Source organism: Homo sapiens, chromosome 10 (genome assembly GCF_000001405.40).
Source record: "Homo sapiens chromosome 10, GRCh38.p14 Primary Assembly".
NCBI lineage: Eukaryota > Metazoa > Chordata > Mammalia > Primates > Hominidae > Homo > Homo sapiens.
In genome coordinates, this window is record NC_000010.11 from 59,258,412 (window position 1) to 59,273,945 (window position 15,534).

Here is a 15,534-nt window from a genome sequence, read left to right on the forward strand (position 1 = left end):
GTTCATGGCTGCAGTGAGCTATGATTGTGCCACTGCACTCTAGCCTGAATGATAAAGTGACACCCTGTCTCTAAAAAATTTAAAATAAAAAGGAATGTATATTGATAATTTCTTGTATATGCTCTACATAGAAACTCCAAAAAAGACACATAAGACATTAATAACAATAGTTACCTGCTTGGGGTGGGAGACCTCAGAGCTGGAGATGGCAGTTGGTTTGGGAAGGAGTCTTTTTACCATTTTCTGTTATATATTTTCTTTTTGAACTATGTGAGAAAGTATTATCTATTCAATAATTTCTTTAAAAAAAAGAAGGATAAATAGGAAAGCAGAAAGTTTGATGGGATCTTCCTTTTCATGCCCTTTATCTCTAAGTCTACTGTCTTTCCAACCAACAACAACCTGCTTATAAGTTATTAATTTTTTATTGATTTTTTCCAGATAAAATGTATACTTTCTAAAAATCTGATTTCATCCTCAAAGATGCTACAGTTGATGAGAGGCCAGAAGAAGTAACTGCCATTACTCATCCCCTTGGTAATTTGAGCTGTGCACCTGACCCCACTTACAGTCCTTAGAAAGGTCAATATTGATATATGTGCCAGCACCAATTCAGTATTTCCAAAAGAAAAGGACATAAAAGACATAAATAGGCACTACAGTTCAGCTCAGGGGATGATTAATTAATTTCCAGTGTACAGCCATGCCCTGTAACCCAGAAGTGATTATCTCCAAAAATCATCCATAGATAAAACAGGAAGAAAATTACTCATTGACAGTATCTGAAGCAACAAGGCAATGCTATAGGATTTATCAGCCTTAGTATGGGCTGTGACTAAATACCAAATGCGGAAATTACAGAAAGAGTCATAATAAAGTCTCTCTAGAAAAGACGTCATTCTTTATCTTGAAATTTTAATATTTAATGCATTTTCAGCAGTAAGGCAAGGACCCCAGATGAAAGCCATATGTCTCTTCGAGTTTAAAGAAACGGGACCTAATGAGATGATCTGAAATGCTATTGAGCTCATTGAGGAGTTAGAAATAACACTAGCTGCTATGGGAATACAAAGTTTTCTCTTTGGTTACGTTGTAGCCTCTGGACTCACACTGAGTGTAGTGGCTGACTAGCTACTACATGGTTTACTATATTAAGCTTTCTCAAGACCAATACTCAGCTTTATGTATTTACATTTTCTATTACAGATGCTCTCTGTTTAAAGGGCCTAACTTTAGCCTACTGAAGAGCTACATTATAGGTATATTTGAGGGGGCTTCTGACACTTATTAAACAAAATAATAGATACTTCATTAAAAATAATAGAAATGATTGGCATTTATACAGGGTGACTTCCACGCATGAGGAGATTTTTCTCTGATCTTCCGACTCTCATTTGCATGTGTCTATTTGACTTACATGCCTCAGTAGGATGACCAACCATCCCAGTTTGCCCAGGACTGAGGCATTTCCCAGGACATGGGATTTTCAGTGCTAAAAGCAAAAAAGTCTTGGGCAAACTGGGACGATTGGTCACCCTATTCCTGAAAGATACTAAATGTAATATATCCCAAACTGACCGTTTATGTTTTTATCTACAACCCCAGTGTGCTCCTCTAGTTTTCTCTGTATCAGTAAATGGACCCATCACCATCCCGGATTTTTTTTTTTGCCTTCATTTCCTCCCATCTAATGCTTCAACATGTCCTTTTGATTCTACCTTCAAAATATACTTTGAATATATCCACTTCTTTCCCTCTCCAAGGCCACCGTGCTAATCCAAGCCACCCATTCCATCTCCCCTTTTCATTCTTTTCCCCTGTGATGTATCCTCCACTTAGCAATCAGACGGATCTGTTAAATGTAATCACGTCATGTCACTTTTCTGCTCTCAACTGTTCAACAACTTCCCAATACTTCCCACAGCTTTAAAGGTTCTGTGTGATGGGTTCTAATCTGTCTTTCTGACTTGATCTCATGCCATCCTGTTCTCCAACCCTCAAACCTGAGAATTCAAAGTGCACAACAAGCTCTTCCTTTCATCACGGCCTTCATACCTGCAATTCCATCTGTTGAGAATGTTTTCTGCTGCTCTCTTTGGCCTGCTGATTCTTCTTTAAATGTCACCTCTTGGCCTTCCTAATCCCTTTATCTAAAGTAGAAACTATACCCATATTTTCTATCATATCACCTGTCAAATATCCTGCATAGTACTTATCAACATTTTTAATGATTTCTTTTTATTGAGTTGTTTATTTCTTGTTGTATCCCCACTCCCAGGACAACATGAACTACATGAGGGCATTGACCACCCCCCAATGGCTTCGATATCTTTTAATTTTTTATATCTAGCATCTATTCTACTTCACAACACATAGTTGGCATTTAAATCTTTTTGCAAATGAACTATTATCCACCAGTCAGTAGGCTTCTCTCTTATTGTCATGATAATTATATAAGTAGGTATTACCTGTATTTTACAGATGAGGAAGTTGAATCTCAGAGAATCAGTTCACTTGCCAAGTGCCCATGGTTAGAAAGTGGCTGGTTCAAGTGCTGAATCCTGTTCTAACTCTACTATATCAATCCCAGCTCTTCTTACTACCCTTGTTAATTGAGTAGAACAGAGATTTAGACGTTGACCAAGATGCTTTAATAGATGTGGCCAAAGTGACTTTAAAATACTGGAAAGAACTTCAGAAGCATTGAAGGATGGAAAACCACAGAGATACCTAAGAGTTTCTGTATATATATGCAGAAGTTACCCACTGACTGTCACAGAAGTATAGAATCTTGGTAGGCTTAGGGATAGGATGGCTGAGTGGATGAAACCTTCTCTTCACTCCTCACAACATGTATTTGTTGTTGTTTTAAGGCTAAAGGTATTTCATAAAGAAAGATGTGGTCACAGGCCCATTTCTACTTGTAGATCACAAGTCCTTATGTAAATGACTAATCCAGGGGCATATGTTGAGCCTTTTGAGATTTGGAATATGTTGTCACTTTATGATTAATACCAGGTAATGTACAATAGAACAGGGAAAGGAGGCATTCTCCTCAAGAAGACTTCATTTGAAAATTAAATATGCTAGTTTGTTCATTCATCTGCTCATTTTTCCATTCACTCAGCAAACATTTATTCAATACCTACTATGTGCAGAAAAGGGGAGGTCATGACCTATAAATAGTGCTTCCATGTAAGAAGTTCAAGATGTAGTACAAGAAACAGAAAGTGGCCTACAAGATAGTTAGAGCTGTGATAGGGTAGTTGCATCTGTTATTCGAGCACTGAAAGTCAATCACGCCAGTCTTAGGGTTGAGACAGGGGACTACAAGAAAGCTTCCTTGGCATAATTGAAATGGAAGCATAGATATGCATGACAAGGAGAGATTAACCAGGTAAATACTAATCAGTCTTTTCTTCTTTGTAAAATATAATAAATCTTTTCTTTGAGCTCCAGGCTCATATATTCAAATGCCTGACAACTCTATCTAGATGCCTCACAGAGACTTCAAAACTAAGATATCCAAAGCTGAAGACTTGTATTTCAACTTAACTCTCCCAAAAAACTCTACCTCTCTATTCTTATTATATAAACACCAAACAAATTTCCTTACTGTTTATAGATCATCCCTGCTTTATTATTTTTAATAAGACATAAGGAAAGGGGCTGTAATTGGAGTCCTTTCCTTTTAGGCACTATGCCTATTTCCTAGTCTTGGGTTCATTTGCTAATTTGCAGGTGGAGAGAGTTGGGGAGAAAGGGATATGATATACCCTGGTGTCTTTGCCATTTACTTCCTATCAACACACAACACTATAACCTCCAGAATGGTGGCATAGCCTGGCATCATGTGGCACTACTGCTCGTGGCCAGTAACCTGTCAGGAACTCATCTGAAATTTTGGAGCCAGGCTAATAAAAATATTGATGTAATGGCAAAGTGCTCTGACAAATTGGATGATCTCATTAGCACTGTGTGGACTACAGGGGCCCTCTATATAACAAGACATGGTGATGTACCTTAGAATCCTCCTGGGGAGGAAGTTGCTCTCTTCTCTCCTTCAGGCATGTCAAGGCAGCATCTGGAGTCTCTTCTCCAGAGGAGCTTGGCTCCGGGCCCGCAGCTTCCGGTTTCCCATTTTCTCTGGGGACTGTGGGTTGCTCACACAACAGGTTTCTAGGTGGACCTTTGGGAGCACTCCCTTGTTCTTCTGACAGCTTTAGCTTTAGTTCTAAGAGAAATGCTATGAGTTATCATAAGCAAAGAGAACCCACTAGTTCTAAGAATGGAGAGACTTTCAGGAATTCCTTCCCCTGATGCCAAATCTGTAGAAATGAACACTAATGATGGCTTTCCACAGGGCAACGGCAACCCTTATAACCAGAGCCATTAGCATAAGCTCCCAATCGGGTGTGAAAACAGGGCTCTAGAGGCTAGGATCTCATGGAGGTGGAGGGTATGTGTGGGAGTAGCTCAGTGGTTTAGATTTCAGAGGAGGAAGAGTTTGCAGGAAAACCAGTGGTGCCTGGCCCCACCTGCCATGTACTGTAGCACCCGAAATTCCACACACAAAGATTTATTTACTTAGATTATGGAGTTGTGGGTTCATCAAGAGCTCCTGTGGAAACGCAAATAATTCTGGAAGACATTATGCATGTAGACACCCAAGGAAATACAGGAGAGGATGGGAAAGGGTAGATGGGAGTGTCAGCCTCAACATGACAGATTTTGCTATTTTGTCTTATGATAGCTTTTAAGATCCAGGAATTATTACAAGGTGGCTTTATATAAACCTAGATAATTAAAAATAAAAAAGCCCCCTGAGACTTATCAAGGAATTACATTTTAGAGTATGCAAGGGTACTGGTTGTTTGAATGAGGCATTTATATTGATTTCTCAATTACATAGCTCATTTTCTTTGTTTGATGTTTGTTTCCTAGTTAGACTTTGTCTTGATGTTTAAACATTGCATATTTTATAAACCTGCCACATCATTACAGTTTAATACCACTGAATTAGTATTCCCTTCCAGTTCTTTTTAGTCACTTTCCTTGCAGAAATTTGGAAAAACTCCCATGTCTCTAAGTATTAAAGTTAGAGTGTGGAGAGAGGAAGAAAATAATTTTTTATTGGTAAATTATAATAGTCTATTTTAAATGGATTTTAGAGTTAATACTCTCACCACCATCTCCAGAGAAAGACAGAAAAAGAAGGACACTAGCCCACACGGCAGGAGAACCACATTCTACACCTGGCCCACCACCTTCCAGCTATGTAACCCTCCCCTCTCTATGAGCATAAATGTCCTCATCCATGCACTGAAGTGTGTGGAGTAAATGATTTCTCAGGCCTCTTCTGTTTCTAACATCCAACAATCCAATAACCTAGGGAGGTTAGTGCTCCACATGTTGAAATGTTCCTGGCATTGAAGTGAATCATTCCACTTGGGAGTCTGGAGGTCCTCAGTTTCTTTGTAAGGAGGTTTATTACATGGGGCCAAACAATGACAGAGATACAGGGTGCTTTATTTCAAAAGGGAGTTACAGTCTAAGCAGAAAACAAGGTGCAAGAGGGCACAGGTGGAAATGAATCTAAAATGCTCTGGAGCACATTATCACTAGTTTAACTGCTTCCTTTGTGAGGAAAAAAGATCTTTGGCTGGGATTTACCTTTGAGCTGTTTACGACCTTTAGCCAAATCATTCATCCATTTCAGGACTTCAGGATTAGAAGTCTTGTCACCATGTGAAGGCTACCAAGGGAAGGAAAAAATGGGGGTGGAAGGGAGGGAAGGAGGGAGAGGGTGGGGGAGAAAAAGAGAAAAGGAAAAACAAAATTTTTAAACAGATGAGCTACACAAAGATAGTTTAGGAATATATAAAGCTGGGAGAGAAATTCGGGTGTGAAATTTCTGATGGAGTTGCTTCTGATGAAGTTACCTCTAGGAAACAGTAAATATTCTTGACCTCCTCTACTCTTTAATCCTTGCTATGGGCACTATTTCTAAATGTGCCTGGTCACCTAACATTTTTCACATAGTCCTGGCCATGCCAGTGCCCCTGCAGTCAAACTGTCAATCACCTTGCAGGTCACCCACAGCCCATATATACCCCATTGCCAGGCCATTTTCTGTAGCACTGCAGATGACTGCACTGATACAAACCAGTGGTTACTACCTTGCTTGTGGCTCACACACATGCTTATGACCATAACCCGTGGGAGAATACTGAAAAACTGGAAGATTTAGCTCTTATCAGTTATATCCTCTAAGCTAAAGAAAGGAGACTCCGGAATCTCTAAAACCTGACAATATTCCCGAGAAGTCAGTTTGTTAGGGGGATACACGGATTTCTAATATCTTCACTAGTGGTAGTCAAACATACTGTCCCTCTACCCCCACAGATCAGTAAAAACTGATCTTAAACAAGTCAAGGCTACCATAGGAACTTACATGCAGGCTGAAGAAAATTAATGGTTACTTTAAATTAAGGATGTACAAGGAAGTATAAAATATGCTCAAGGTGACATGATCATAAACATAATAGCCTGAAATATGTGCATTGTTAATGACCAAATCTAGGGGTTCTGTCATTTTTTTTCTTTAAGGATCCACTAAATCCATGTAACAATGGCAGGTTGTTGGTGAGAGGGAGGCACAGGAAGATGGCAGATTTTTAAAACTCAAAGGAAAAAACTACTGTGTGACAGGATCATCACGTGTACATGAGTTTAGGTATGCTCATTGTAAAACACAAGGCATGATTCTGTCAGTTCTAAAGTGATTTAAAAACCATACATTTTAAAATTAAAATAGAAAAGAAGATTGACAATGTTTCTTTCCTAGAAGAGCTTGAATAGCAGACTGGTTTCCCTGAGGGATGGCAGAGGGATAGGGAAGGGGTTTTGGCGGGGGGGGGGGGGAATCCTGGTTTCAGGACCATGGACAGTGACACGTGGCCATCAATCCCCAGCTCTCTAAAACAGCTTAGCCTAGTCCTATCTATGGTTTGCTAGAATGATGCACTGTATCGTCTAGTACTTTGGTTTGGGTAGCAGTCTGGTTACACGGAAAGTCAATGTTTTACATTTGGTTTCCCAAAATCCTTAGAGAATTCTCCACTCCGATCTGAGAACACACCTTGTTGAACAATGCTTCACTGGATCTGTTCCACACAGTTATTTCCATCTTTTGAAATATGGTAAAAACAAACACACACACACACAAAATCCTAAGGCCTTAAGCCAGTGACTGCAAAAGAAATAAGTTTTTACTACGGTGCATAGAACTTAGAAGAAATTTAAGGCTAAATTTCTGACAAAATAATTTAAAGCCTGAAATCAGTTTCTGAAATGAATTTATTTCCCTACCCTTGAAGAAGCTGTTAAAAGGGTTAAATCAAACTCACATGGATGGCAGCTCTCAAATCACATGGAAAGTTCTCATATACAAGCTGTAGATCTTCAAGACTTTTAACTTCTTAAGTGAAATATTCTGATTCAAAAGACCCCAAACGTCATACACACGGAAATTACATAGGTTTAGATTTTGTTCAATGCAATTAAAATTGACCTCCTAAGTGCCATTGTATGAGATTTGTGATCTGCCAAAGATGGTTCAAAAAGACACATTAGAAAAATTACTGGGAGGGTTATAAAAAGACCTCAGTTGCTGTTCTGGCTAGAACTATTCTTTGCTGTGTGATTCTGGGAAACTCACTTCCCCTTTCTGGGCCTCAGCATCTTCAGTTGTCAGATAAGACAAAAGACTGATTCTTTCCAATTCTAACATTCCCTGATTCCACTGAAGGTAGACGTGTGGCTGACGCAGCCTTTTCTTAGCCCAAGAGTCCAATAATCAAATGCAAAATCAGATGTAGAGATGTAGAGAATTTGGGGTAGGTATATAAAATGGTTACAGTAAACAGAGATGGAAAGATATACGTGATACATGGGTATCAAAATAGCACAGAGGCCCAGCAGGAGCCCAGATTCAAAAATTAGCAATGGGTGGTATGAATTCCACAGTCAGGCTGTCAGGAAGGGGAGCCTTACACACAGCAACCAGTTAAAGCCCACTGACATGTCAAACCTCTAAGCACAGCCTGGCATGCTGACAGGAAGGAAAAGCGTTTCCTGAGACCTGTGAGGTTCTGATAATAACAAAGACTTCTATAGACACTGAAGCAGCGGTGACCAAGGAGCTTCCTTCCCCTACTGCTCCCTGATCTGTCCTTCCATATGTGTATTTAAGTCTATGTTTGTGTGTGTGTACATGTGTGTGCATGTGCATGTGAGCTCTAGCTTCAGAAAACTCTAGACAAAGGCAGAAGATGTTTCCAGGAGGAATTCTCTTCCAAAATAAGCATCCAAGATCTGTGGCTGTGGGTAGAAAACTCCAGTGGAGAATTAACATGTACAATTTTCCTTTATTTTCTGACAAGGCAGAGACTGCCATGGAGTAGCCTATTTAAATATATAACTCATAGATTAAAAAGTTTGTGTTATCTAGGACCATTTACTTCCTTTGTACCAAACACTGTAATAAGCATTATGTATGTACTTCCTTATTTACTACTTACAAACTTAAGAAGTCGCTACCTAATACTCCATTTTACACATGACCAAACTGAGACTCAGAAAGATAACAAGTCCAAAATCACAGAGTTCTTAAGTAGCCGTGCTGGATTCAAATCCAAAATAGTCTGACTCAAGAACTGCCAGATAAGAAGTGTTAACAGGTGCTGGGAATGGAGCCCCTGGTTGTTACTCTGTATTTTCCAATACGAGGACATCATAGATCCAGTAACACGCCAGCAGCAAACAGGTGAAATAAACTTCTCCCAGGATATCTGGATCTTTTAAAAAGCAGACACTTAAAAATTTTACTTCTATTCTATTGCAGAACCTACTCATCTGTAATCCACTGACCCAAGTTGCGACCTGATAGAACACAACTATCTTAGGCAAGTCATTTCCATCAGGTGTCAGTTTCATTATCTGTAAAATAAAATCCTGGACTAATAATGTGTTGAGCTCCCTTCTGCTCTGTAAAAGACAATAAATAGCTGTGACTGCCTGACTTTGGGGAAGACAATCTTCAACATCCTGACTAAAGTTGCCTTGAAAGCCAAACTGATTTTTCCCCCATTTTTGCAAAGCTAAAATCTGCTCCTTAAAACTCCTCCTTCAGTGAATTTCAGGCCACTGTGGGAAGCAGGACAGGAAGAATGGAAGAGTGGAATATTATCCATTCTCACCTCCCTCCCCAGTACTTACTCTCATACTCACAAGAACTTTCCAATTGCCTCTGTACCAAGTGTTTAGTGAACCTTTAAATATTTCAAGATGTATGAGAGATTATTCCCTGTTCTCTTTTATTCTAATAACAAGCTATTCTGAGCTCTCTGCCGAAGACCCAATGTCTTTGTCCAGTTCTCTGTGGATATGCTTTTTCTGTATGCCATGGTCACTACTGGAGAAAATAAAAGCAACACTGACCATCAAGACACTTACCTATGACCCTATTGTTTCTTACATAAGAAGAAAGGAGGCTCATGTTTGCTGCAGTGCAGTACTAGCATGAAAACTAGTGTCTCTCTGATGGGGAAAGGAAGGCTTAGGGTTGGTTCTTATGAGTGGCCTGAACAGATGTCACTTGAGAGGTCCTCATTCACCAACAAGGAAATACTTTAATGTCAAAGAAACCATCTCTCCCTCATTCTGTTCCACAATTGGAGACCCCTCCCTTGGATCTTTAATAAGTTCTTATCAAAATGCAATTGAGAAAAAGTGAAAAAAAAAGAAAAAAGAAAAAGAAGAAGAAGAAGAAGAAGAAGACCATAATTCAAAGCTTTCCAAATTTTGTTCCTCAGAAAAAAAAAGGTGAGATCAATAATCAAATAAGTTTGGAAATAATAGTTGTAATCCATTACTAGAAAATATCCTAGCAGAGATCAACTGACAGCAGGTGAGAACAAGACAGATAGAAGATGAAGACTCTATGATAGGTCCAGGTTGGCCCATGGGAACAGAGCTGTCCCCTGGCAAAGAAGGGCACCCAGAAAGGAAGGACAGAGGCTGAGGAGAATCCAGACACCTCTGACCAATCCGCTCCTATGTCAAACCCCAGGGTTCTTACCCGGTATTTCTTTTCTTGTTCAAATTTTTCTTCAAATTTCCGAATTTTCCGCTTGAGGCTCTGGATGTGCTTGGTGAGCTGGGTGATGGTCTGTGGCTCCTTGCCATCTCCACAGCTGCAGCGTGAAGAACTCCGCGGCCTGCAGTGATTACAAGGAGGAAGGAGTATCAAAAACAGTGGGCTTCCAGTAAACAGTTCTGTTGATCTACAAACCAAAATTCCTGGATTGTCAGAGAAGTCCAGAGGGAAGTTCATTATTTGATGAGGCCACCATGGTAGCATCTGCTCATTAATGGAGACTCCCTATCACAAAACTCTGTTATGGGTGGATGTTGTCTTGGACTTTAGTGTAAAATGTCAAGATATTAGTCCAGGAAATGTGTTTTGTAAAGCTTAGAGGAGGCCAATTTAAGACTCGAAAGAGACAGTACTGTTGAGGTTCTGTCCTCAGTAGGTTGCCCAAGCCATACCTACCAACATTTTCAAGGAAGATTTAGATGAGTGGTTAACTTTTCTTGACATAACAGGACTTTTTTTTAATATGATGAAAGGATGGGCCTCTTTTCCAGAAATTGCATACACCCCCTCACATAACACACACTTTACATGCAATGCCAATAATTCACTAACTCTTTCAGGTCCATCGATAGATAGTTCATGGACCCAGGGTTAGATATATTCAAGAAAAAATGGCAGGAGTTCTGACGGAGAAACCAGGGATTCCCTGGGAATATTTTTAGCCAAGGGATTCTTAATCTTAATTATACATCAAAATTATTTGTGGAACTTAAACATAAACAACACATAGTTCCTCAATCCCAAATGCAAATTCCAAGTGGAATGTGTAGGGGGCAGGCATCCGATTACACACACACACACACACACACACACACACACATTATTTGGATGAGGGTAGCTATTGTAAGCTACCACTTTTCTAGAATCTAACAAGAAATGTAGATGGACAGCTCCCAAGTGTTCCCAGAACTCATCCATTGATGCTACCACTGGACATGGAAAGAATATTGAGTTCATCAAGAATGATATGTCTGATATGTGCATGTACATATACTTACTTAAGATTCTGGTCATTTCACCAAAAATGTTCAAACATGTGAGCCGCTGGGCTATCCTGTCTCTCATGACCATTTCCTCTTGAGGTATCAAGGCCTGCAATGGCATCCCCAACTAGCAAGTACACTAATTTTTGTCATTTATTGTTCCAGTCTCGCAGTTGCGTTAGGCAGGCACATTTGTGCTACTTCAGTCACACTTCATTGTAGCTTATAAATGTGGTATTTGAAAAACTGTATGAAATGAAGACAATAACAAAACAGTTTTCTCACATCATAAACTGCTGAGTGCTGGGTGGAGATGGGGCTGACTCGGGGTCTAAGTTGAATCTCTGGCTTTGGCTGAAGATGGAGCATCGTGGCGACAGCAGTGGGTTATCACCATCAGTGATGTGATAGAGCAGCCTGCTGGTCCCCACAGAGTGGAGGTCTTCTGGTGCACTGTCGGCCTCATTCTGCCCATCTTTGTGGACTGGTGAGGGGTCTGGGCAAATGAGACAAATCATCAAGACTTAGAAGTGACAGAGGGCTTGAGACTGTCATGTTCCTAAATAAAGATCATAAGCATTCATTATAATGGCTTGCCTCTTTGTCATTTCTTCCTTCTGGGGATATGAAAAGCTTTCAAAATATTGTCATGTTTATTCTCACAGAACCTGGACAGAAAATATTACAAAGCTGTTAACAAAACAAAGGAAACAAATAAGTTTGGTATGAGTTATACAATCAACACAACCCCAAACTACAAAACAATCTTCTTTTCATTTCACATTATTTGCATAAGTCAGAGGGTATATTACAAAATGTTAGAGCAATAAAAAGAAAACAATAAAATGGAGCTGGAGCAAAAGACTATAGATTATCAGGAAGAAAAGGTATAACAACCAGTGAAGGAAGGGAGAGAAGGGAGTAGGAGGAAAAGAGAGAAAAGAAAAACAAGAGGAAGAGAGGGGAGAGGAGTCCCCAGAAAGAAAATTATTCAGCAATCATCAAAAATGATGGAGAACTCTGCTTATCTACAAGGAATGATGTTCAGAATATGCTAAATGGAAACCACAAATTTCAAAACAAAACATTCTGTTTTACATAAACACATACGTTTATATGTACAAATAGATGCACTAAAAGATCAAAGAGGTTACATAGCAACTACAAAGCATGGTAGAATCAGGAATTATTCTATTTTTTTCTCCAAAACTTTATGTACGATTTTATTTCAGGCAAAACAAAAAACATACACAAAACCTTCTCTGAACCCTCTCCCCGGCTAGCCATCTCTGTCCCTGAATTCTCACTAGAACCAATCCCCTTTTAAGTTAGTTCCCCACCTCACGGTCCTCCAGAAGGTAAGTACCCATCTGCTATGGAAGTAAGGGCAGGCGACTGAGGCACAGCAGCAGGGGATCAGATCATTAGGAAACTGAGTCAGGGGGCCAGAAGAAGGAGCTCTGCACCCTAGGCTCTGTACAGAGTTATTCAAGAAGCAGCCCAGTCTCCTTCTCAAGTTTGCTCAACAGACAAGTCAGGACCAGCCAAGGCTTTCTCTTACTACTTCTTCTCCAACGAAAGGGGAAAACAAAAGATTTTCTGGATGAATAAGCAGAATCAGAAAACACTGATGCTCTGCTTGTCCAAAATAAACACTTATCACAATTTGGTACCAGATGAATCTTAATCAGATTTAGAGTGGCTCCTTGTTCTCTAGAGCTTGAAATGCAATCTGCTTTGCGTAACATCAAAGGCCTGATTAGGTCCTCCTGTGTTTTCAGCTGGCTTCTCCCCTGGTGGATTGTAGACTGGAGAATGGATAACGCCTCCTATTTTGCCTTTGCAGCTCACTGACAGCACTGTCGGTGGCTGAGGCTAGTCAGAAATGGATGTGATGACAAAAGAGTTGGAGGGAGGCAAATGGCAGTGCCTCCAGCCCAAGACAAGGTGTAATGGTGTGACTGACACACATCACCACAGGCAACACCCTTGCCATGAATAATTTACCCAGAAAACTCTGCAGTTTGGAAAGAGCCCTCAGGAGTAACAGGAATAAGAGTTACTAACCAATAACTCATAGCATATAATATCACCTTCAAAATACACCAGTAGGTGTATGGGTTCCTCATCAAATCCTTTTCTTAAACCACTAGGCTCTAAGAAGAAATGTGTTTTATTCATGCTACCAGTTTCTTGGAAATATCTTCTGGAAATAATGGGGAAGAAAATAATCTTTAGCAGGCACCTGGGACCACCATATTTTTACTGAAATGGAAAAGGTCTGAGACCTTCAACCCTTCAGCTCATTTGTGGCCCCAGGGTCAAAACTAACAAGGTCTCTTACTGGTTGCTGTTTTATAATGCCAAAATGGAAATACTTGGGATCCTAGTAACATGACTGTGAAGCAGTGCCAGGGAAAGATCTCAGTTTCTGGAACCCATAGAGTCCTAAAATATAACTTTGTAGAATCACACATCACTACAAATGGCTTTTTAAAAAACTGCATTGCAACAGTAATTGTAAACCTCCATTTATATGGCATCTGTTTTCCCTTGGGCATTTGCATAATTTACCATGTGGCCCAATTAACATCCTAACCTCCTTGCCTCCAATTCACTATTGAAGGAAGCTGTGAGCCAGAAAGATCCCAAAGCAACCAATTGAAAAGCAACACCAGTCAAAAACTGGTAATTTTGTAACCCCTCAGTTCTTTGTCCAAACTCCCCATTTGAGTTGAGAAGGGGCTTAATTAAATCAGCTGACACATGCATATGTGTGTGTATTTGTGTAGACAGAATTATTGAGCTCTTTGCTCAGAAGAGGCTAGTGTAGATTCAGAGCCAATGCTGCTGCTGTCCTGGGAAGAGTCCAGGCCACTGCTTCCAGACCCTGCTTCCCAGTAGGGAGAAGCTGATGGCAATATTAAACTAAGGTGGAACCTTTGTTCCCTAGGGGCACATTACTTTCTATCCCCAAGGAAGGGGCAGCTTGCCAGGACTCATCCTGCGATGCAGTATGTTTTAGAGGAAAGGGTCTGGGAGCCGGGAGTTTGGTGTGCCTATACTTTCTGTGGGGCTCCAGCCAGTTTCCCCACCTCTCTTTTTCATTGTTTGGCCTGTCTTCCTCACAGGACTGTGATAAGAAAAATAAAAGGAGACACTCTCTACAACATTGTGTCAATACAGTAGTCACCACTTATCGGCAGGGGATAAGTTCCAAGACTCCCAGTGGACACCTGAAACCACAGAGCGCATCAAACCCTATATATACTACGTTTTTTCCTATATATAGAGAGAGCTTTGATAAAGTTTAATTCATAAATTAGGCACAGTAAGAGATTAACAACAACAACTAACAATAAAATAGGACAATTATAACAAGATACTGTAATAAAAGTTGTGTAAATATGATCTCTCTGAAACTATTTATTGTACTGCACTGTGGGCACCTGAAACTGCCGAAAGGGAAGCCCAGGATATGGGGAGACTACTGTAGTAACAATGCTGTTACTTATGCTTACGCTTCATCCTAAGCAATGACCAAGAATTCATGAATTTGATGTACTAGTTACATTTTTTAAAACTAATACACATTAAAACAAATTCCTCTTAAAAGTAACAATATTCACCCATGCATCCTTTGTATAGGGTATTTGGTGAAATCTTAAGATAAAGCATAGAAACTACTGAACACAGCATCTATGAGACCCATTATTTTTAACAAATATTATTATTAATATAAGAAAGTTGAATATTGTCTTCTCTTACTGAACACCAACCTCATTTGGAAACCCTACAGGGTTAATGTGGAAAATAAGAACCAATATATCCCTCAACATGTTGTCACTACTCTGAGTCCCTATTTATAAAAACATAATAATCATCATATCTAATATTTATGAAGTGACTCACTGTGTCCTCAATCTTATTCTGAGATTTTTTGCATGTATTTAATCTTCATAACAACTACATGAGGCTGGTAGTAATATGCTCTTCATTTTAAATTCACTAGGAAATGTTGCGTAACTAGGCTATCTCCATTCAGGGAGAGTTTGACCAGTGCTTGACATAGAGGATGCCACATCTCTGACTTGGAAGCCAGAGTGTTTCTGGCAGCACAGTCACTGAGCAGAAGGGAACATAGAGAAGAAGTTACTATCAGTGTGTGAAGGCCAAGAGACCACTTCTGCTCAGGCTGTAACCCCAAGCAGAAGCAAATGCTACATTATAGTGGTTAAATGAGTTAGTCAGATTTAAAAATCTATCTTTCTAATGTGAATTTAAAGCTATTCCAAACCTAAGTAAATCTCTATCTGCAAAAACTTGAGATGG

The 15,534-nt window shown here is 39.8% G+C and overlaps 1 protein-coding gene across 24 annotated transcripts in view; it reads right to left on the bottom strand.

The window, feature by feature from the left end:
- The window catches only part of FAM13C (family with sequence similarity 13 member C), a 117,053-nt gene that overhangs the window by 12,283 nt on the left and 89,236 nt on the right, over positions 1–15,534 (bottom strand). For 19 of the 24 annotated variants that reach the window (XM_006717702.4, XM_017015886.2, NM_001143773.1 and 16 more), the window contains 4 exon segments: positions 11,488–11,698; positions 10,142–10,280; positions 5,674–5,755; positions 4,023–4,234 (listed from right to left, as the gene is read on the bottom strand). In XM_006717702.4, the coding sequence (XP_006717765.1) occupies positions 4,023–4,234; positions 5,674–5,755; positions 10,142–10,280; positions 11,488–11,698 (644 nt within the window). 24 annotated transcript variants of the gene reach the window in all.